A 22,840-nucleotide genomic window follows, 5' to 3' on the forward strand; every position below is an offset into this window, starting at 1 on the left:
ACTTGACATAATAACACTATCTGCAAAAGGAAAAATCAATCAATCAGACCTTATTTAAGTGGAATATTTTGCTCTGTCAAGCCCCATGTGAAAAGGATGTAAAGACAAGCTGCACACTGAGAGAAAATATTTGCAAACCACGTTTGACAAAGGATTAGTATCTAGAACATACAAAGAGCTCTTAAAACTCAGCTCTTAAAACTCAATCAATCTAATTAGAAAATGGGCAAAAGTCATGAAGATATTTTTCACCAACGAGTATATAATACAAGAGGCAAATAAGATGAAAAGATGTTTAACTCATTGGGCATCAACAAAATGAAAATTAAAACCACAATGAGAAATCACTGCATATATATATAGGAATGGCTAAAAGGAAAACAACACTAATGCTACCAAATGCTGGCAAGGATACACACACATATTGCTGGTGGGAGTATAAATAATACAACTCATCTGAAAAATTGTTTGTCAGTTTCTTATAAAACTAAACATGCAATTACCATGTGAGCCAGCCATTGCACTCCTTGGCATTTATCCCAGAAAAATAAAAATCATATTCATACCAAAACCTGTAGATGAAAGTAACTTTATCTGTAGTCACCTAAAACTAGAATCAGCCCACATGATCTTCAATAAGTACATTGATAAACAAGGTGTTCTATAAGAATGCCATGGAATCCTACTTGGAAATACGGAACAAACTATTGATACATGCAACACCTTGGATGAATCTCCAGGGAATTATGCTTTGTGAAGAAAGGCCAGTCCCAAAAGGTTACATACTGTATTTTTCAATAATATAACATTCTTTTAAATGAACACATTTAGAAATGAAGAAAAGATTGTGGTTGCCAGGGAGTTGGGGGAAGGAAGTGGGTGTATTTATAAGAGGGCAACAACAAAAGGGGTCTTTGTGGTGTGGGAACTGTTTGGTGTATGTACTCTTGCAGTGGATACACAAACCAACACAGGTGAGAAATTTGTGTGCAGCCTAATAAACACACACACACACACACACACACACATGCACACACAAATGAGTATCAGTAAAACTGGGGAAATCTGAATAAGATTGATGGATTACATCAATGTTAATATCCTGATTGTGAAATTATAATTTTGCAAAATGTTATCATTGGGGAAAATGAGCAGCGTACAAGGGGTTTTTCTATATTCTTTTTACAGCTGCATGTGAATCTTCACTTATCACTAGAAAATTTTCAATTAAAAAAATTAGTAAAATTGCAGGGCGCAGTGGCTCACGCTTGTAATCCCAGCACTTTGGGAGGCCTAGGCGGGCGGATCACGAGGTCAGGAGTTCGAGACCAGCCTGGCCAACATAGTGAAACCCCGTCTCTACTAAAAATACAAAAATCAGCCAGGTATGGTGGCACACGCCTGTAGTCCCAGCTACTCGGGAGGCTGAGGTGGGAGAACTGCTTGAACCCGGGAGGCAGAGGTTGCAGTGAGCTGGGACCATACCATTGCACTCCAGCCTGGGTGACAGAGTGAGACTGTCTCAAAAAAAAAAAAAAAAAATTAGTAAAGTTGTGCAGACCAGTGCGTCCCTCCTAGTAACAACAACTTATTTCTCAGCGACAGAGCTCTACCTTATGGCAATGCTAAAAACGGACATTGAGTTAGTCAACCCTCAAGATGAAAACCATTTGTTATTTTCCAGTCGTGATGTACAATACCCTATAGACTAAATACCACATACTGAGCCACATTTCACTTTTGGGAAATGTCATGTCATTCATATGAGTTAAATGCTAAGGATATGTAATTATTTTCTCTCTAAAAGACAGTCTAAAGCATGCATGGGGAAAGTTATTCTAGGAATGAACAAGCAAAGCAGACACACAGGAAGGCTCCTGTGCACTTGATTTTTTCAAGAATCAAGTGTTCTTGTCCGAGGAGGTTCACAGTAAAAGGGGACTTCATTCTCAATAGTCCAATTTGATTCTGTTAATATGTTAATATACATCATATTGGACTTTTTCTCAACTATGTTAAATCTTTTCATTTTTGTGCCATTTCATAAACGTACTTTGTATTTGGCATAGAGTCAATGATGTGCTGCACCTGCTGTGCCCACAGACCCCTTGGGGAACCCCTTATACTTAGGTCACTTTGACTTTCATGTCTGGACCCCACAGTCCTCATCACAGTCAAGCGGGCAGAGACTGGGACTAAGCCAGGAACTGCTGTCCAGCAACAGCTCCCTGCAGGTCACCACCACAGTTGGGGGTCAGCCTCCACAGGACTGGAGGAGCTGACTCATTCAGATGCCTCAGTGTGAGTCCTAAAAGTAAGTGCCAGATGCCCACACACAGGTGTGTGCATATGCACAGAAAGTTCTAGAAGAACCCAGGAGGCAGTGTGAGCCTGAGAAGCAAAACCACAAAGAGAACAGAGGGAAACTCACGGACAATGGTGGGAGAAGCAGAGCCAGTGTGCACAGAGCAGTAAAGGGCAGAACCAGGAGCCGACAAGAGTCTCGAAGCCTCAGGCGGGGCGCCAGGGAGGTCTGCAGCTGACAGTGAGGGGATCAGTGCCACCCAGGTCCTCTATGGGATTCCTGAATTGTTGTGGAGACTGGAGCAGCTGGGATCCCTCGCTCTCATGTTTTCAGTTCTCTGTGGGGCTTGAAGGTGTGGCTGCCGTGTGGAAATGGACTCAGGTATTTCGGATCCTTGATCAAGTGAAAGTAACAAGCGTATTTTTTCTTGATTTCCCATATCTGCTAATATTGAAGGCTGGGCCATGAGACTGGCTACATGTGTGTGGGTCATGCAGCCAGATGGTGCCCTGGAGTGGCCCCTAAATGAGGTGGTTATCACATCGCTTTTCCAGGGATTAGGAAAAACCTGGGGAAGGAAATAAACGGGAGACTTTTCTTGGCCCTGCTGAGGTTGAATACTAAGTTGCTTGTGGCCAGCTGGGAAGTTGGAGTGAGCCAGGGAGCTGTGTTGGCACAGACCCAAGGAGGACCTGGGCCTGGTCCACAGTGTCAGTCATTCTCCAGAGCACTTGCATTACTGTTACCGAACTGAACTTGAGTCTGCCTATCTCGGGCAGCAAAGCCAAACACTGACATTGGGTTTTGCAGCAAGGGAAAGTGAGGCATTAATTATAGGGCACCAAGCAAGGAGAATCGGGCAGCTCACACTTAAGACCCAAACTCCCCAGTGGCTTCCAGGTAAGGGGTTTTAATGGCAGGAAATTCAGGAAAGCAGAAGTTACAGGCAAAATCATAAATCAATACATGGAGGTTCACTATTGGTTTAAACTGAAAAGGTGGGATATCTTAAAGTGGGGTTTACAGGTCATAGGTAGAATCAAGGTTTTTCTGATTTGCAATTGGTTAAGGAGGGGAGCTTTGACTAAAGTCTTGGGGTCGGCAAAGAAGAATGTTAGGTCTGGCTTGTGAGCATGACTTCCTCTGGGCCCTCAGGAAGAAATTAAGAACAAAGAACCGTCGTTGGAATTCAGTCCTTGGTTGCCCCTTATCTGCCCCTTTGGTGGAGGTCTGGGTTTCTGAAAAAGAACTCAGGGGTATATGCTAACATGTTCTCTTTAGTTTCTATAGGAACCGAACATCTCGTGACTTTAATTTCCTTGACTATTGTTTTAGGCTTCGAGTACCTTCCTGCTTACAAGGTTGCTTTTTAACCTTGTAAAAGGTTAGGGATAGCTAGGGGCCTAGAATTTTCCTCGGAGGAACACAGGGTTTTTCTGTATTTCCATGCTTGTGAGGAAGGAGTGGCAGGCCTCTAAGAGAGGTCCCTATGTGTCATATTATTCCCAACTTTTTCATTATTATGATAATGATTTTGCTCTGTCGCCAAGCTGGAGTGCAGTGGCACGATCTTGGCTCACTGCAACCTCTGCCTTCCGGGTTCAACTGATTCTCCTGCCTCAGCCTCCCGATTAGCTGGGACTACAGCTGCACACCACCACACCCAGCTAATTTTTGTATTTTTAGTAGAAAAGGGGTTTTACCACGTTGGCCAGGATGGTCTCAATCTCCTGACCTTGTGATCTGTCTGCCTCGGCCTCCCAAAGTGCTGGGATTACAGTGGTGAGCCACCACGCCCGGCCTCATTATTATATTTTTAAGGGCAGCATGTTCTCTCTTGCATTTTGGGGGCCATGAATGGGTTCATCCCTCTAAGCGAAGAATAGGGCCCTTGTTTGACTTGCCAGCTTGTCTCAGGCTGATGAGAGACATAATAATCCTAGATTATTTTCCTCTCTGATGCTTTTGTGAATGTGATTCTACAGCAACTAGAGACTAACACAGTAGTGATTGTTCTCAACTCACATACATATTATTATGTGAATTTTAAGGTAGGTTTGAGTCAATTAAATCACAACTCAAATCTCATTATTCTTTTAAAATGATTTTTCACACAGATTAGGAAAGTGTTGCATCAGAATTACAAAACAGGTTTAGTAGTATCTTTCTTTGGGTGCCACTGATATTTCATTATTTCTTTGCTGTTAGGTCTGTCTCTCCCCCAACTCAAAGCCCCTGGGCCCATCATTCATTCATACACGTATGATTTCATCAAAACTTTTACTGAACACCTATTATGTGCCAGGCACTATTTCCTGTTGGAAAACATGAGCAAATTCTATTCTTGGCCTTTTTGCCATTAAGGCCTTTGTGTCCATTCTAAACCATAACTTTCTTTAGCACTATTTTTCTGAATTAAAAAAATGTAAATCACAAACTTGCATGAATCTTACATTTTACAAATGCTTTTTCCTTTGAAATGAGAGATGTGTTTAGCCTTCCTTCTCTCAAAGTTATTTATTGATTTTATTTTGTCAACCATTATAACTTGTATTTTTTTTCTTTTAATATCTTTCTGGGAAGATGATGGCTACTCTGCCAGAGGTGTTTGCCCACTCAATATGTGTCACTCTTCGGAGGGAGGAGTGTGGAAGTCATGGGTGAACAGAAAGCACCTGAACGTTGGGTTCAGCCTGCATTGTATGTAAATGTTTGTATTACAGGAAAGAAAATAGTATATCTCCATCTTGACAAATACATGCGCAAAATGCTGTACAAGAAAAAACAAGATATTGAGGGAGGAGGATAGAAATAGATGTCTGAGTCTAAAGCTGGGAAGCAGAGTTTTCAAAATCCCTTAATACTTTATGGTTTTAAACTATGTGAGTGTTTATTTGCTTAAAAATAAAATAAATTTTTAATGAAGAAAGCTTATGGACTCTTTGGCTCCACATGGCAAGGTGAATCAGAATTCCTCATGTACATGGGAGCTTGCTGTGCACTGGACCTGAGGCAAAGGGAGGAGAGCCTGCTGGGCCCCACTAAACCCTTGGACTTCATACTGTGGGCAGGGGACAGTGTATACAGGAGCCCAGCAGGGTGAGACTGAGCCATTGCCTGAGAGTTTGGAAACCGTGTAATAGTGGGTCCAAGGGGCAGAAGACAGACGATGGATGCAAGGGGTATAATTAAGGGCTGTAGACATGGTCAAAATAGGAGATGATGCCCTGATGGAGGACGTTGGCAGCTCCAGCCTCCACAGCATTTCAGGAATCCATGGAGGAACTGGGCCACACTGAGGAGCCCTCCGGCAGACCTCCCTGGCACCGAACCTAACGTGGTGGGGCTCCGGGTTTATCTCATCACACGGGTTCTAAAACTTTGTTCCTTACTGGCTCTGCTTCTTCTGCCATTGCCCATGACTTTTGCTCCGTTCTCTTCTTTGTAATTGTTTCTCAGGCTCACACTGCCTCGTGGGTTCTTCTAGAACTTTCTGTGCATGTGTGGACCCATGTGTGCGTGTGGGTGTCTGACACTTATTTTTAGGGCTCACACTGAGGCATCAGAATGGGTTAGCTCCTCCAGTCCTGTGCAGGCTGCTCCCCACCTGGGGTGGTGACCTCCAGGGAGCTGTTGCCAGACAGCAGCTCCTGGCTCGTCCCCCTCAACTGTGATGAGGACTGTGGGTCCAGACGAAGGTCAAAGTGACCCAAGAGCAAGGAGTTCCTGAAGAGGCCTGTGGGCACAGCAGGTCCAGCACATCATTGACTTAACGACAAATGCAAAACACATTTATGGAATGGCACTTGCACACACACAAAAAAAGGATGTAAAAATTTTAACATATTTGAGTGAGTTGGACAATTGGCTCTAAAGCTTCTAATTCCCTGTAGCTTGGTACATGTCTCTGCATCTCTCACAAGTCATCTCTTTGCTCTCTATGTTATAGTATGTATCCCATTTTGCCTTGAATCAGGCTCCTTTATGTGTAGCTCCATTTCACCCACTAGACTGAAACTTTTTTAAGGTTCATAGTGTTGTCATTATTCCTAGCACCTAGCAAAAGGCATACACACAGCATCAATTCCACAAATATAAGTTGCATTGATTTATCTTACTCCAGTTTATAGCATTTTGTTATAGCAGTCCAAATGGACTAAGACAATGGGGGAATCATGAAGATTTGGGGACAGGTGAAAGCAACTTCCATCTGCATGGATTCACTAGCATACTATCTTCTCTTAAATCTAGTATAGGGAATGTCCTCAAATACCCCCACATGAAGGCCAAGGTAAGGAACAAGATGCTTCCTGGGCAGGGTCTTTCACATGCCCATCGTCCTTCTGGGACTGATTGCAGTATGTTCCAAAATGGGATTGGTCTGTGCCCACGGAGGGGGACTAGTCTTGTGTGGTTCTTTTATTTTCAGTGGAAACTGAGCAAGCCTCCTTCGTCTTTCTAGTCTTAGGGTAAGGGCTCTCTTAGACCCAGAGACATGGTCCTTGCTGGATCTGAACCGGGTGTGAAGGTGCTTTCTGCTTGGAGTGAGTGATAAGGCCCTGCTCTTCCATGGCCCTCCATACTCTGAAGTGGGCTCAAGGGCTGGATGTGTCACACATAGGACATCTGGGGGGAGGGGGGATGCTGAGTAATAGCCATACATTTTCCTTGTCCTGGTATGCAGGTAATGGGAGTTTATCCCTCATTCTACCAAAGGTAGATTCTGCCTTACTCCAGCTGGGCTGGCTGTGTGACCTGCTTTGACCAACAAAACATGGCAGATGTTCAAGACTCCTGGGCCTGGGCCTTAGGAGACCTTTCAGTGTCCACTTCTCCCTCACTGCCCAGAGGTCACTGAAGCATCAGTGGATTCACAGAGGGGTCTGTGTCCACACATGATGAAAGGAGTGAGGGAGCTCTCTGGGGCCCCTATTATAAGGACACTAATCCCATCACAGGGGCTCCAGCCTCATGACTATATCCTCCCAAAGGCCCCATCTGCTGACACCATCACATTGGTGATTAGGTTTCAATATATGAATTCAAGGCGGCCACAAACATTTAGACCCTAGCACTCACAGTGCACAAAACAACAGCCTTTAATGTGGCATTTGCAGGCCTCTCTCACACCCACGCATCCAGCCCCAGCTCAATTTTCCAACTTATTGCCTGCTGCTTCCCTCATGAGCCTTTATTCAGCCTTAGACGTTTTTCAACAATACTTCCTCTGTGCTGTGCTGGTGCCTTCTACTAATTACTGTTTGCTTTTCTCATCCCTGTACCAGCAAGAATGCCACCTCCCTGAACACTACAGGATGTATTGTGTACTTTTTCAGTATCCCCTGCCGGAGCTAATCTCTCTCCTCAGTGCCCCCCATGCCCAGCCTAATCTTCTGTGTCCCCTCCCACCCAGTATAGTGACTTGAGCACAAACTGTGGAAGAGACAGTCAAGGCAAGACCAGTGTCACAGCGAGACCAGTGTCACGGCAACAGGCAAATGAGCTGAGTGGTGCGATTAGACTCTGAAAGCCTCGGCTTCCATGTGTGTAAAATGGGTTAACAGTAACTTCCTCTTGGGATCCTTATAAGGACTTAGTGAGGCAGCCTATGCAAAGCACACAGCCCAGCAAGCAGCAAGCATTCAGTCCACAGTAGCTGTTAGCAGCAGTCGTAGCAAGAGTAGTAGTACCAGTACAAGTAGTAGTGTTAAAATAGAATTCCGTTCCAGCAAATCTATTAGCTGGGACTCTCAGACATTCTTATTTGGTTTCCCATCTCCCTCTCCTTACCAGGAATTGGGAATACATGTCCTTCCAATTTTTCTCAGTGCATGATTATTTCTTCCTTTGCACCAAGTCATCTAGGATAGGAAGGCCGTGCAGATTAAAGCAATCACACACTGAGCACTCCTGCATTCTGTTTATTTGGGTCTCTGGACATTGCATTTGATTTTTACCTAACTGCTGGGCCATGCTCCCATCATTTGGAATGGACAGTTTGGATTCTAAGGAAGATGATCAGCCACTTGTAAAGTGGACAGCTTCTCTCTTAAGGTTTTTCTTTCATTACCCACTAACCTCACTTCTGTTCTTTTTCTTTCTTCCCTATTTTTCATAAAGCATTGCAAATAAAAAGGTTAGCACAGCTCTTTTTCTCTTCCCTGATTCTCCATCCTTACCACTTGTGCTTGTCATATATTTCACTTATGTGTATGTAATAAACTTACAGTGCATTGTTGTTAGAAGCATATAAAGTTAATGTGTTGGCAGCCTGTTACCTTGTAGGGAAACTTAAAATTATAAAAATATTTTATTTCACCTCTATTTCACTTTTCCCCCAAATTTATTTATTTTTTTAGAATGACATAGAATTTTATGTATTTATTGTGTATAACATGATGTTTTAAAGTACACATACATTGTGAAATGGTTAAATCTAGTTCATTAACAAATGTACTGCCTCACAGTTATTTTTGGTTTTTTCGTGGTAAGAACACTTACTGGCAGTATCCCCTGCCAGAGCTAATCTCTCTCCTCAGTGTCCCCACGCCAAGCCTAATCTTCTGTGTCCCCTCCCACCCAGCACAGTGCGCTCCTAGCATTTTTTAACAATATCATTATTACTATAGTCACCTTGCTGTATAACAGAGCTCTTGAACTTATTCCTCCTGTCTAACTGTATGTATTCTTTGACAAACATCTCTCCAACCACCCTTCCCCATACCCTTCCCAGCCTCTAGTTACCTCCTTCCTACCCTCTGCCTCTATGAGATCAATATTTTTAGATTACACATATGACTGAGATCGTGCAGTTTTTGTCTTTCACTTCTGATGTTCTTTATATCTTTGTGTAGACCCAAGTTTCTAATCCACATCACCTACCTTTCACCTGAAAAACCTCCTTAACTTTCTTGTAGAATATGCCTGGGTGCAATGAATTCCCTGTGTTTGTTTGTCTGATAATATCTTCATTTCTCCATAACTTTTTAAAGCAACCTTACTGAGATAAATTTACATACCATAAAGTTCACCCATTCAAAATGTACAATAGTTTTTGGTATATTGATAGAGTTTTGCAATCATCTCCATAATGTAATTTTCAAACATGTTCATTCCAAAATGTCCCAAAAGAAACAATGCAAAGTAACTCCCATCATCCCTGCCTTTGGCTCCCCCCACCAGTCACTGGCAACAACATATTTATTTTCCTCTATGGACTAGCCTGTTCTAACTATTGCATATAAATTAGATCATAAGACAAGTGGTATCTTATAATTAGCTTCTTTTACTTAGCACATTTTGAGGGTTCATCTGAGTTGTAGCAGGTATCAGTACTTACTTCCTTTTTTATTGCCAAGTAATATTCCATTCTAGATATATCACATTTTGTTCATCCATTCAAGAATTAATGGGCATTTGGTTTGTTACCACTTTTTGACTACTATGAATAATGCTGCTACAAATATTCATGTTTAGATTTTTGTGTTGACATTTGTTTTTGTTTCTCTTGGGTGGATATTTAGAGGATAGAAATTGTCAGTTTATATGGTACCTGTAGAGTCAACATTTTCAAGAACTACAAAAGGATTCTCAACCGGGCGTGGTGGCTCATGCCTGTAATCCCAGCACTTTGGGAGGCTGAGGCGGGCAGATCACGAGGTCAGGAGATCGAGACAATCCTGGCTAACAAGGTGAAACCCCATCTCTACTAAAAAAATACAAAAAATTAGCAGGGCATGGTGGCGGGCACCTGTAGTCCCAGCTACTCAGGAGGCTGAGGTAGGAGAATGGTGTGAACCCAGGAGGCAGAGCTTGCAGTGAACTGAGATCGCACCACTGCACTCCAGCCTGGGTGACAGAGCCAGACTCCGTCTCAAAAAAAAAAAAAAAGGAATCATCCAAGGTTCCTGGACCATTTTACATTGCCATCCCCAATGTATAAGAACTTCAATTTCTCCACATCCTCATCAGCACTTATTATTGTCTGTTTTATTTTACCTATCTTAGTGAGTGCAAAATGGTATCTCACTGTGGTTTGACATTCCCTTCTCTAATTAATAATGTGATATTGAATGTCTTTTTATTTGCATGTTAGCCATTCATATTTTTTTGGAGAAATAACTATTCAAATTTCTTACCCATTTGTTATATGGGCTATTTGTCTTTCCTTTATTGAACTGTAAGCATTTTTCATATAAATTTTTCATAAAAATCCCTTTATGGATATATGATTGGCATACATTTTCCCCCGATTTGTGTGTTTTCTTTTTCTTTTATGCCCTTTACAGCACAAACTTTTTTAAAAAGTTTAAAATTTTGGAACTTACCTATAATTTCAGAAGTCCAACTTATCTATATTCCCTTTTATTAGCTGTGTTTAGGGATTATATCTAGGAAATCATTTTTAAAAGCAAGATATTGAAGATTTATTCCTGTATTTTTTCCAAAAATTTTAAAGCTTCGCTTTTACATTTAGGCCTATGATCCACTTTGTGCTAATTTTGGTATATGGTATGAAGTAGGGATTACAAAGGACCATGAACAGCCAAAGCGATCTTGGGCAACAAGAACAAAGCTGTAAGCATCACAATACTTAATTTCACATTACAAAGCTGTAAGTAATCAAAACAGCATGGTACTGGCATGAAAAAAGACACATGAACCAATGGACTAAGATAGAAAGCCCAAAAATAAACTCACACATTTATGGTCAGTTGATTTTCAACAAAGGTGCTAAGAACACACGATGGGGAAGGGACAGTCTCTTTAATAAATGGTGTTGGGAAAACTAGATATTCACAAGCAGAATAATGAAATATGACCTTTATCTCACATCACAAACAAGAATAAACTCAAAGTGAGTTAAAGACTTACATTTAAGACCTAAAACTGTAAAACCACTGAAATAAAACATAGGGGAAAAGCTCCATGACATTGGTTTGGGCAATTATTTTTTGGCTATGACCCCAAAAGCACAGACAACAAAAGTGAAAATCAGACAAATTGGATTAAGTTGAACTATAAAGCTTCTGCCCGGTGAAGAAAACAATCAAAGTGACAACCTACAGAACAGGAGAATATATTAGGACATCAGACATCTGATAAAGGGCTAAAACCCAATATGTAATAGATAAAAGGCTAATATCCAATATGTAAAAGAAACCCCAGCAACTCAATAACAAGACAACTGATTGTTCTACATGAGGATACCCAGTTGTCCCAAAAACATTTCTTGAAAAGACTATTCTTTCCACACCGAATTGTCTTGGCTCCTTTGTTGAAAATTAAATAAGTATAAATGTAAGGGTTTATTTCTGGACTCTGAATTCTATTTGTTTGATGTATCTATCTGTCTTTATACCAATGCCACACTATCTTTGTTACTGCATCTTTGTAGTAAATTTTGAAATTGATAAGTATGAGCCTACCTACTTCCTTCTTCCCATCATAGCCTGAACTACTTTTTCAGGTTAACTTTGGAATGCCCTTGGCAAAGAAGAGGGGTCCATTCAGATGACTGGACGCATGTGACCAAGGTGGTTGGGCACATGGCAAGGTGGTCTTGATACATGTGCCCAAGGTGGTCGGGGCACATGTGCAATCCCAGCTGTGATCCCAGTATAGCCTCCTGAGTAGCTGGGACTATAGGCACATGCCACCATGAGGGGCCGTAGAATTTTATTTCTGGTTTACACTCAGGTAATTTTTGTATTTTTAACACCGACGGGGTTTTGCCTTGTTATCCAGAATGGTCTTGAACTCCTGACCTCAGGTGATCCACCCGCCTTGGCCTCCCAAAGTGCTAGAATTATAGGCATGAGCCACTGTGCCTGGCCTGATTCATGTATTGTTTTTGACAATGTCCTGCAGTATGAATTGTTCCAAAGTCTGATCCGATTGAACCCAGGCTCCTTGGCAAGGGCAAAGAATTAGCCTCTCTGGGGCAGCATCTCTGCACTGTGGTGCAGAACCTAGGTGGAGGAAGGATTTTGCTTTCTTCCATCTACCTCACACAGATCCTCTGTGTGGCAGGAGCTGTGTGTGGCAGAGGCACTGGTGCTGTAACCCAACTGCTGCCACGTCACCCACTATGGGTCTTTCACAACCTGGTCAGAGGAGATGAGATGGGCTGATGTCCACTGGCTGCCACCTCTGCCTGGAGCAGAGCTTCCGCCTTAGGAAGCTGGGAGAGATGGGAGGTGTGACTAACAGCCATGCCTGCTGAAGTGGCTGTCCTGCCACACAGATGTGTGAGGGACGCAAGGGCTGTACTCTTTGCCAGCTGCCCCTCCCAAATCCTCCCTACAGAGCAGGAGTTGGACGTGGGCAAATAGGCAGCACCCAGCTGCTGGTGTTCATGTGATATGGGCCTTACTTTGCATGGAGCTGTGAAAAATGGTATTTCTCATGTTCAAGGGCTGGCAAGACCACCTAAAGTAGCTCTTCCACCTCCAGGAGCTGGGGAGATGACAACAGCTGCTCATGTGCTGAGGATACACAGTTGCTCCATGAGGCAGAGTTGAGGGAAATGGGTTTAATTCCTCCCCCATATGGCATAGCCTCCCACATTTCTGTCATCTAAAAGACCATCAGGATGGCTAAATGGTAGAAAGGAGAGCTTGATTGGTGATGTTTATGGAGAGTCAAACTCTGTAAAATATTTGAAGAGATGTACTCTAAGCCAAAAAATGGATGACCTCAGGAGAACTTGAGAACATGTGCCCAAGGTGGTCAGGCACAGCCTAGTTTTATACATTTTAGGGAGACATGAGACATCAATCAAATACCTGTAAGATTTACATTGGTTCGATCTGGAAGGATGGGACAACTCAAAGCAAGCAGGGTTCCAGGTCATAGAAAGAAATGTCTGGATTATGATAAGGGGTTGTGGAGAACAAGGTTTTATCATGCAGATGAAGCCTTTAAGTAGCAGGCTTCAAAGGTAATAGATTGTAAATGCTGGTTGAATTTTCCTGAATTCCAAAAGGGAGGATGGTATAATGAGATATGTTCAAACCTGCTTCCCATCATGGCCTGAACTACTCTTTCAGGTTAACTTTGCAATGCCCTCGGCCAAAAGGAGAGGTCCTTTCAGATAACTGAGAGGCCTTAGAATGTTATTTCTGGTTTACAGTGTTATCAGTTTGGAAACTGCATCTCAAGCATGGACCACAGGTGCTCTCTCTTTGAAGAGGGGGAAGGACAGGTTGGGTTTTTTACCTCACAGGTCCTGAATCACACAATAGAGAGAGACAAACGTCTTCAGGAGGTTTGGGGAAAAGCTGTACCTATTCCCGAGGGGAGCCAAGCACATTCACAATGGGTAAACATATATGTAACATACGTCCCATGCTCACTTTGGGGTGGGTGTTAGCATTAAAGTGAGGTGGAATTTGGGTCTTTATTTCAAAAGGGGTGAACTATAGACACAAAGACAGTTTGTATGCAGTCTCTAGAAGCTGCTGAAACTGGCTTAAGATCTGCAGTCGCTTATCAGGAAAGAGCATCAGTGAGGCCAGTCCTCTGTCCATTCAGAGCTGCAGTGACCTGGGTTGTAAATCAGGGTTAAGAGGGATCTGATCATTTGCCTGCTAGCTCCCATTCTTAGAGAATTTAACAAAAGTGTGGGTTTCTTGTAGCCATAGGAATTTAGGAAGATGCCATGCCAGCCAAGCTGAACCCTCCAGCCATCATTAACTTTTGTTTCCTTAACCTTAGTGTCCATCATGGTTGATGAAGGGGAGTCTGTTTTGGTCTCTCAGATCACAGTTCTTACTGAGTTTCCATAGGTTTCATTGAATAAATGGTTCTCAGCTTGCTATATATAGTTGTCAATTAGTTATAATCCCTTGATTAGACCCCCAATGATGTTGAATGATGTATATGCTAATCTTACCAACTTAATATATGTTTCTCCATGGGAGAAGTTTCCCTGAGCCCCGCATACCATAATTGTTGACTGCATTTTGTCTTTATTATGATTTCCTTATGGCACCTTTTAATAGAGTAAGATTAATAAAAGCCAGAAGCATTTGCAATAACATTTTTAATGTTACTATATAAAGCCTTTATCTCATCCATCTGGGCCACTGCTTCTGGCATTTACTTTCCTAAATTGTTACAATTTCCCCCAATCCAACACACAAACCCACATCAACTCCTGATATTTGTAAGCCCTTGTGTTGTATTCCCTGTGTAATTTGAATCTTCTCCTGCTCCAGCTGTGTCTTGTCTCTACTTGGGGTACAATTAATAGCAGAGCCAGTCATGTCCTACCAGCATTCCTTTTATACAGGCTGGATATATGTGTGAGTATAACCAACTTTTTATTTCATTTTATTTTGCACAGTGCAGCACTGAGACCTTAGAATTTTTCTGCTAATAACTCTCAAGACTTCTTTGCACAGCTACTTTTAAGATAGTTAACCTATAATTTTTTATCTTTACTATGTTATTATTTTTGATAGGATTTAGCATGACTCCCAAAATATATTTTACACTGGCCAAAAAGAAAAAAAAACCCTCTAAATTGTTTAAGGACAAACGTATTTCTAAAAATTTATTTTTCAATTGTTACATTTCTCAGTGTATTCATTTGCTGGGGCTGCTGTACCAAAGTACCACAGACTGGGTGACTCAAACAACAGAACCACATTGTCTTACAGTCCAGATGCCCAAGATGAAGCCATCCACAGGGTGGTGGTGCCTTCTCAAAACAATGAGAGGGACTCTATTTCATGCCTTTCTATTTCTGGTGGTTTGCTGGTGATCTTTGGCATACTTGGTTTGCAAAGGCATCATTCCCATTGTTGCCTTTATCTTCATATGGTGTTCTCCCCTGTGTGGTATCTGTGTCCAAATCATTTCTTCTTAAAAGAACACCAGTCATGTTGGATTAGGGGCCCAGCCTACTCCAGCATGGCCTCATCTTAACTAACTATAGTTGCAATGACCCTGTTTCCAAAAAGATCACATTCTGAGGTACTGGGTGTTGGGATGTCAACATATGCATTTTGAAGGGATAAAATTCAAGCCATAAAAATCAGCAACTTCATATATATATTTCCCTAACTTACTTTGTTTTATTTTCCAGGTCATTGACTAACAACATCAACAATGAAATGAATCTGAGAAAACAGGAAATTGAGAGCAAGAGAAAAAAAAGTTAATTATACTGATTTTGTATAAGACCCCTTTGAACACATTTTTAAAAAATCAAATAGAAGGTGCCCAGGTCCACTGTGCCTTGTGAATATTTGTCTTGTATATCCTAGAGATCTACGCATTCATGTGGGAATTGAAAAGGACCCACATTTTACTAGAAGCATCGTTCATTTTTGCCTCAAAACAATGCCCACATGTCAGAAGAACTTTCACAATTCACAGGAACAGTGACCTAATTAACCAACCATAAAATTGCCAAATCCCTACTTCTCATTGTTTAATATGCTTAGAAAACCCATTCAAATTGTGAATTATCAAGTGAGCTTACACTGATAAATAGATCCAATATTTAGGAATTTTTAAATCTTCCATTCCTTTTTTTTTTTTGTCTTTTTAAAAATAGAACATTAGAATATGTCCTCCAGGTTTTAGAGATGGGGGAGACATGCTTCCCTTTATTTCTCAGTAACTCAGCCAAAAAAAATCTGGAGAGAATGCAAAGACAGCTACTGGAAACTTTGAAAAGTAGATGTGAGCCCATCAGGGAAGAGCTAGAGAATCTGAAATCTACTCGAAAAAGTGAGTTTGATACTTTGTGTTCCTATCCTAACTCCACACAGCCTGAAACTTGGAAGTGAGCATGATGGAGTGGATACAGTGAGATGCAGAAGAAATCCTCCAGTTTGGGCTGGAAGGGAAAAAAGAGACCCCTAAAACTCAGAGACAGTGGAAGAAATTCCTGGTGTTTTTTTCTTCTCTTTTTCTCTGTTCTTCCACATAGCAATTTAGTATTGACTACAGCATCTCTGTTACAATGATAGCACCGAAATGTTGTAACCATATGGCCTGCAAAGCCAAAAATACTTATCTGACCATCTACAGGAAAAGTTTGCTGATCTGGATGAAATATTCTGATACTAAATATTCCATTTTGTGAGTATACCACAACTTAACTTAAAAATCTACCTCTAGTTGGCTATTTAGGCTTTTTGTTTGTCTGTTTTCTGGCATTATAAATTGTGCTGCTATAAGCTGGTTTGTGTGTGTCTCTGGATGGATATGAACAGTTTCCTAAGATTGTGTACCCTGAAAAATGCCAAGTCATAGGGTATGGCTGTATTGCAGCTTTTCCAATTTTTAATTTATCTTTTCACATTTTCTACAGTAACTTTTGATAAATAAAAGTTCCCTCCATACTCAAGTGAGCACATTCCTGTAACAGATCTCCTGTCGGTTCTCTTTCTCAGGAGAACCCTGACTAATATCTATTTATATTCTCATTTTTCACCAAAAATAAACAAGGCTTTGGTGTTCTGAATGGAATTGTTTTGAATTTTAGATTAATTTTGGGAAAATGGCATCATTAAATATTGATTGTTCTCATTCATAAATATGTGATATGTCTCCAATTATAGCTCTTCTTTTATGCCTTTAACAAGTTTCTTTTTATAATTCAGTGAATATGGAGCCTGCATAGCTTTTGGAAGGTTTTGTAGTTTTACTCTGTCTACTAAAAAGCATAAAAAAATTTGTAAGCCTCAATGCAATTAGAAATTAAGAATTAAGCTACTAATGGTGCAACTCTGTAAGCACAAGGCATAAAAAACAAGTGTTATGGCCGAGCCACACAGTGAAAGAGGTATGAATCACTGCAAACACTGGTTGAAGGGAAGCTGTCCTCCAAACAGAAGCATCCATTTTTGTACTTTTTAAAAATTTTTATTTATTTATTTTTTGAGATGGAGTCTTGCTCCATTGCCCAGGCTGGAGTGCAGTGGCGCGATCTCGGCTCACTGCAACCTCCGCCTCCCAGGTTCATGCCATTCTCCTGCTTCAGCCTCCCGAGTAGCTGAGACTACAGGTGCCCGCCACCAAGCCCAGCTAATTTTTTGTATTTTTAGTAGAGACAGGGTTTCACCGTGTTAGCCAGGATGGTCTCGATCTCTGGACCTCGTGATCCACCTGCCTCAGCCTCCCAAAGTGCTGGGATTACAGGCATGAGCCACCGTGCCCTGGCCCCATTTTTGTACTTTTAAGGGAGTGAGAAATAAACTACTTTTGCTTTTAAGCCGTTATAAAATTTGGCATGAATTTGCCAAGCAACTCAACATTAATCTACTGTCCTTGAATTAATTATAAAAGTTGCAGACAGTCTTGAACATTTAACAACACAGACACAATTATTCGTGAGGAATTAAAATTGGGAAAAGTTCTAATACTTTTTTTTTTGTAGAACATTTTTACCAATTTAAAAAAGTGATCATTATAGATTAACTTGAAATCACAATGCAGAATTGTGTTATGCCATAGATCACTCAATAATTTGTTGTCACATATATGCTTCTCTGCCAATCCTAGTAGACTTCACACCTTGTGCTATATTATTAGTCTTCCTTTTATGAGGCAGACAGTACCCATTTCATAAAATATGAAGACTATAGCTTCGGGCCAGAGGATTTGAATTTTCATACTAGAGGTTATAATATGTGATATCATGAGCTTGTTTTTATTGTCCTAGGAGGCTGATATTCCTAATCTATTCATAAGGATGGCATATCTACCCAGTGGGCCTGCTGGGACTCCAGTTACCCGATGCACATACATTGCTTGGTGGTCAGTAAATATTATTTTGCTTTCTTTATTCCTTTGTGGAAAAATTTCAGGTAGAGAAGAAACCTGAAATAATTTGAAGAACTTTAAAATTTTTTTCACCCACTAATTTATATTCTCATTAGCAAAAAGAACCGAATATTGGTAGCTCTATACTTTATAATAAAGATGTGGAACTTCTTGATTACTCTTTCCTTCTTCTACGTTGACTCATTCTATCACTATTAATTCACTCAGGAAATGCTGATTGAGCAGCTCCTTTGTATAGATGTTAATAGCACGGTTCTCGCCATAGGTCACAGAGGTTGGTTTGCTGAGCAACTCTGAGAACCCGTTTTTAAGTTCCCTGACTCTCCTATTCACTGGAATGGAATGCCTTGCTGTCTGGGCCCTCCTTGCTTCACCTTCCAATGAACTGAAATCATCACACTGATCCTATTGTAGCGGAGAGTGGTGTGTTAAAACCATAACCATAACCCCGTCTGGAGACCAGCCTCAGCTCTGTCGCTTTCTTATCTCTTCAGATGCAGCAGATAGTTACCTCTAACTTTTAGTTTGCCTCAGACATTAAGAATAAAATCATATTCAGCATAATTTAGGTGTCATTCTCCACATTCCACTGGTGCTAACAAACATTTTTGTATTGTTCCCATGTGTCAACAATAGCAATCTGTGGCTCATTATAAGTGACAGCAAATGTCAACAAGCCTGCCTCCTGGAGATTTGTTTGTAAAGATTCCTTATCAGTTGTTGTTATTTATACCCCTGGCTTCTATCGTCATTGATTATTCTATATATTTTCCTCCTTCAAGTGAATGTACAAAGAGACCAAGAAAACCTCAGTCAAACTTGGAAATTTCCTTTGTAATATTCTTTTTAAAGTTAGTTATGGTAAGTTCCTTATTATCTATCTGTTAAGAATTGGGATGGTGAGCTTGGTTTGATTTTCTGGTTAACAAGAATATTAGCCAATCATCAAGAATATAAAAGGAAACACTGGTTAGCAAAGAATTAGAATTACAAAAGCAATGAATTCATACCTAAGCCCTTGAAGGTTACACTGGTTTTGATTCATAAGGTGCATGCTTCTGGTGTCCAAGTGCAATATTCCAAACATCAATTATCACTGTACATTGGTTTATTAAATATTTTCTGATTGATTTGCTTTATCTAGATTCTACATAATGCTTTGTACTAAACTATGAATACTTTGCATTTATGGAAAAATGTCCAGCTTGAGATCACAGAGCAATTGAAGATTATCTTCCAGAGACTTATTTTTCTCCTTAAACTTTTGTTTCCTTAATTTGGCAAACAAAGCTAGTCACTTTCTGTCACATTTCTTCTCTTTTCTTTCTTTCTTTCTTTTTTTTTTTTTTTTTTTTTTTTTGATACAGTGTCTTGCTCTGTTGCCCAGGCTGGAGTGCAGTGGTGCGATCTTGGCTCACTGCAACCTCCGCCTCCCGGGTTCAAGCAATTCTCCTGCCTCAGCCTCCCGAGTAGCTGGGACTACAGGTGTCCACCACCACACCCAGCTAATTTTTGTACATTTAGTACAGACAGGGTTTCACCATATTGGCTAGGCTGGTCTCAAACTCCTAACCTTGTGATCCGCCTGCCTTGGCCTCCCAAAGTGCTGGGATTACAGGCGTGAGCCACCGCACCTGGCCTGTCACAAAATTTCTATCTCATCTTATTCTATCCCATGTCATCCACTGCCGTTGTACCACCAAACTCTACATTGTCCTCTCTCAGAATGTCCTCCTGTTCCTTGGAGATAGCACTGTACTGCTGTTACCATAGATGCAACCCTCAGGCTTCATGCCTGCATGGCTTCTGCACCTGGGTACGTCCTGGAGATCTTTGCAGCCACCTAAACAGACACGGTACCCTCTGTTCCAGCACTCTGTACTTGGTTCTTATCTTGCCGGGTATGTGTTAGTCTGTGTTTCATCTTTTTATATGTGTGTCGCTTCTAGTAAACTCTGAGCTCCTCAGCTTAAAAGTCTTATTTTGTGCAATTTCTTTTAATCACCAGTATTTGATACATCACTTGGACACTTAAAGAATAAATGAAATAAATGAATGAAGCATTTCTTCCAGCGTACAAAACAACTGAATAAATGAATCAATTAATTCTCACCTAACAAATAGAAGTGCCAAGGAAGTGGTTAAATGATTTGGTCCTGGTTAACACAGAGCTTGGGATGGCCACCAACTCTCACCTCATCATTCTATCTACTGACTAGTTGGCCTTGAATTTGTTAATTTAAACAAATTTGAAGTTTCAATGTTCTTGCAGCAAACTCTAACATACATACTTAATGATTAAAGGCAAGACCTCAAGGGCAGATTGGAAAACTAAGAACAATGCTAAAAAAAAAAATGACTTGCAGGGTTTTTACTAATTTCCAAAATTAAGTAACAAATCACTGACTTGAAAATATTTTTCACAGCAGCAGTGATATCATCTATCTAGGTATGGTTTAAAACACAAATCTCAATTTTTCCTTTCCTTTAGCTGAAATAATAAATAAGATAGATTTTGCTATGATTAGGAAGGAAAGATATCAGTGCCTAGATTATCCCATATAAAGGAGTTCACTCACTTTTAAGATGCAATCTATTTTTGCCTTAAATGTCTTCTGCAAACAGCCTTGCCACTTCAGTGCTTGTGAGTTGATGTATGTGTCAAGAGAACTGAGCCAGGTCCCGGCTGTGCCGCAAATCATTCACGTGGTGCAGATGGACACACGTTCTGTTAGTCAAATAAGCATATTAGATTCAATGACTATGAAACTCTCCTTCCAGGTCAAATAGCCTGTTATTTGTGCATTCCAGTATGATCATTGCCATTTATTTAAAGTATTTCTACCTATACAGATATTAGTTACTAGCGACTCAAGTACACGTTAGAATTAATTGTTTAAAAGAGCAAATAAACCTCTCACCGCAATGGCAATTAAAGACACCCAGTCCTGCTGTGTGCTTCCTCCATTTGCTTCTAGTGGCAGTTTCGTGTGCATTTTTGGTGATGATGCTCCACGGAACATCTGCAGATGTGCTGTCAATTTGGACAGGTAAGATGGCTTTAGTAATTCAAGATGTCACAACAACTCCTTGCCAGTTAATCTCAAGTGAAAAATAGGACAAGGATCTGGGACCAACAGAAAGATTCATCTGCTTTGCAAATTGACTTAGTCAGGATACCCCTTTTGTAAAGACGACTTTGGTTTAGTGAACAGCTCTCATTATGTTTATAAACAGAGGAATTTTTAAAAATCTATCATTATACCTGAGAAAAAGCAGATGAGAGATTTTATTGTAATACTATTTCATTAATTTTCTAAATTGAGATGGAAAAAAACTAATTTTGACTTTATATTAACTGGAGAGTTTTTCATTATCGATGACTGCTCTTTAAAGATATTTTACATATGGTATTTTAAACACAGCTGAGTGCTTTTATTATCTACTTGAGAGAGTTGGATTTTTTTCCTAATGTAGTTTTCAAAATATTGTCATTGACCCTGAACAACATTAAGAGTGGATAAGGGTAGAGAATAATGATAAAGATGAAGTATACAAGTCACTGAATTCTATTTTGAAAATGTTGATATTTTTATTTTCCAAAAAGTTATTACTCACACTAACATACCCATTACCTTGTCCTTTACTGCCAACATCACTCTTGGTTTTATGTTAGGCCCTTAAGGAAAATATTTTTTTCTAACAACTCATATCATGTAAAGATCTGTAGCAGTGCTAGGTAGAATTGGGAATATCATAAGATCTAGAGATGACAGTAAAATGTATATTAGGTTCAGCTATGAAGCAGTTTATTTTTTCATAAATTATTTACAATCTAATTTTAGGCATATAAACAAATCGGGAAGTCCGTTAAGGTAGTCCTCTTTAAGGCTGTGTACCTGCCGTGAAATTGCTGCCTCTATTTACACCATTTTCAGAGGACCACTTGTATAATTACCATCTAACCCAGTGCATATGCTGCACATAAAACAACTGGTCTCAGTCATTTATTTCCAGATTATGTTTGAGTAAAGAAAAAAAATGATTCGGATTGAACAGCGTAATTTCAAAACTCATTTTTCTGTCTCTAAATGTGTACTATGCTCTTAGAAGCTCACATATTTGCCACCATTAAATATGACCAGGGCTCTAAAGTCCTCTCAGCTGCCCCAGTGGAACTAGGGTACCTGTGTCTGACCATGTTGACCCTCGGGAGGGACAGCGCTCATCTGATTGAATGCGCTTATTAAGTTGCCCAATAGGCAGCCACTAAGAAAAGTTGACACTTAAAACCACTATGCCATGGTTGTGGTGGAGAGAGAAATCTAAGAGACTCGAGGTGCATGACACCTCCAGTCCCTTCAGCCCCACCCCATAGAATCTATGCAGCCAGTAAATGTGTCTCAGATGAGTGCCGGGTGCAGAGCACCACACTGGGTTCAGAGGTACAGCAGTGAGAAGGAAAGACAGTCTCTGCTCTCGTGGTGGTGGGAAAGAGAGACGGTATCCAATATGCCCTGTGATAGCAGCCAGGACGGGCAATCATCGAGAAAGGAAGCTAAGCAGTCAGAGGTGCTCAGGTTGAGTGACATTCAAGCAGAGACCCGAAGACGACGAGGGAAAGAACCACGCCAATGTGGATATTGGAGAGGCGATTGTGGGGGTCACCTGGGCCAGGCGCTCCCCAAAGATCAAGTAGGAGGAAGGCTGCTGGGTTGGGAAATATGGAGG

General features: G+C 40.8%; 2 long non-coding RNA genes across 9 annotated transcripts in view; one reads left to right on the forward strand and one right to left on the reverse strand.

The window, feature by feature from the left end:
- The window catches only part of LINC02248 (long intergenic non-protein coding RNA 2248), a 94,817-nt gene that overhangs the window by 35,974 nt on the left and 36,003 nt on the right, over window positions 1-22,840 (forward strand). The window contains exons 1-5 of one of the 7 annotated variants that reach the window (XR_001751455.1): window positions 13,089-14,613; window positions 15,399-15,469; window positions 16,090-16,402; window positions 17,988-18,970; window positions 21,088-21,159. This is a non-coding gene — a long non-coding RNA (long intergenic non-protein coding RNA 2248). Of the gene's footprint in view, window positions 1-13,088; window positions 14,614-15,398; window positions 16,403-17,987; window positions 18,971-21,087; window positions 21,160-22,840 lie in introns of those variants that run through there. The other 6 variants (XR_001751451.2, XR_001751452.2, XR_001751454.2 and 3 more) reach the window with 6 other exon arrangements.
- The window catches only part of LOC105370740 (uncharacterized), a 74,705-nt gene that overhangs the window by 27,597 nt on the left and 24,268 nt on the right, over window positions 1-22,840 (reverse strand). For both annotated transcript variants that reach the window (XR_007064792.1, XR_007064791.1), the window contains 2 exons: window positions 21,031-21,143; window positions 20,689-20,837 (listed from right to left, as the gene is read on the reverse strand). This is a non-coding gene — a long non-coding RNA (uncharacterized LOC105370740). The remainder of the gene's footprint in view (window positions 1-20,688; window positions 20,838-21,030; window positions 21,144-22,840) is intronic.

The sequence above is a fragment of the Homo sapiens genome, chromosome 15 (genome assembly GCF_000001405.40).
Source record: "Homo sapiens chromosome 15, GRCh38.p14 Primary Assembly".
Classification (NCBI taxonomy): Eukaryota; Metazoa; Chordata; class Mammalia; order Primates; family Hominidae; genus Homo; species Homo sapiens.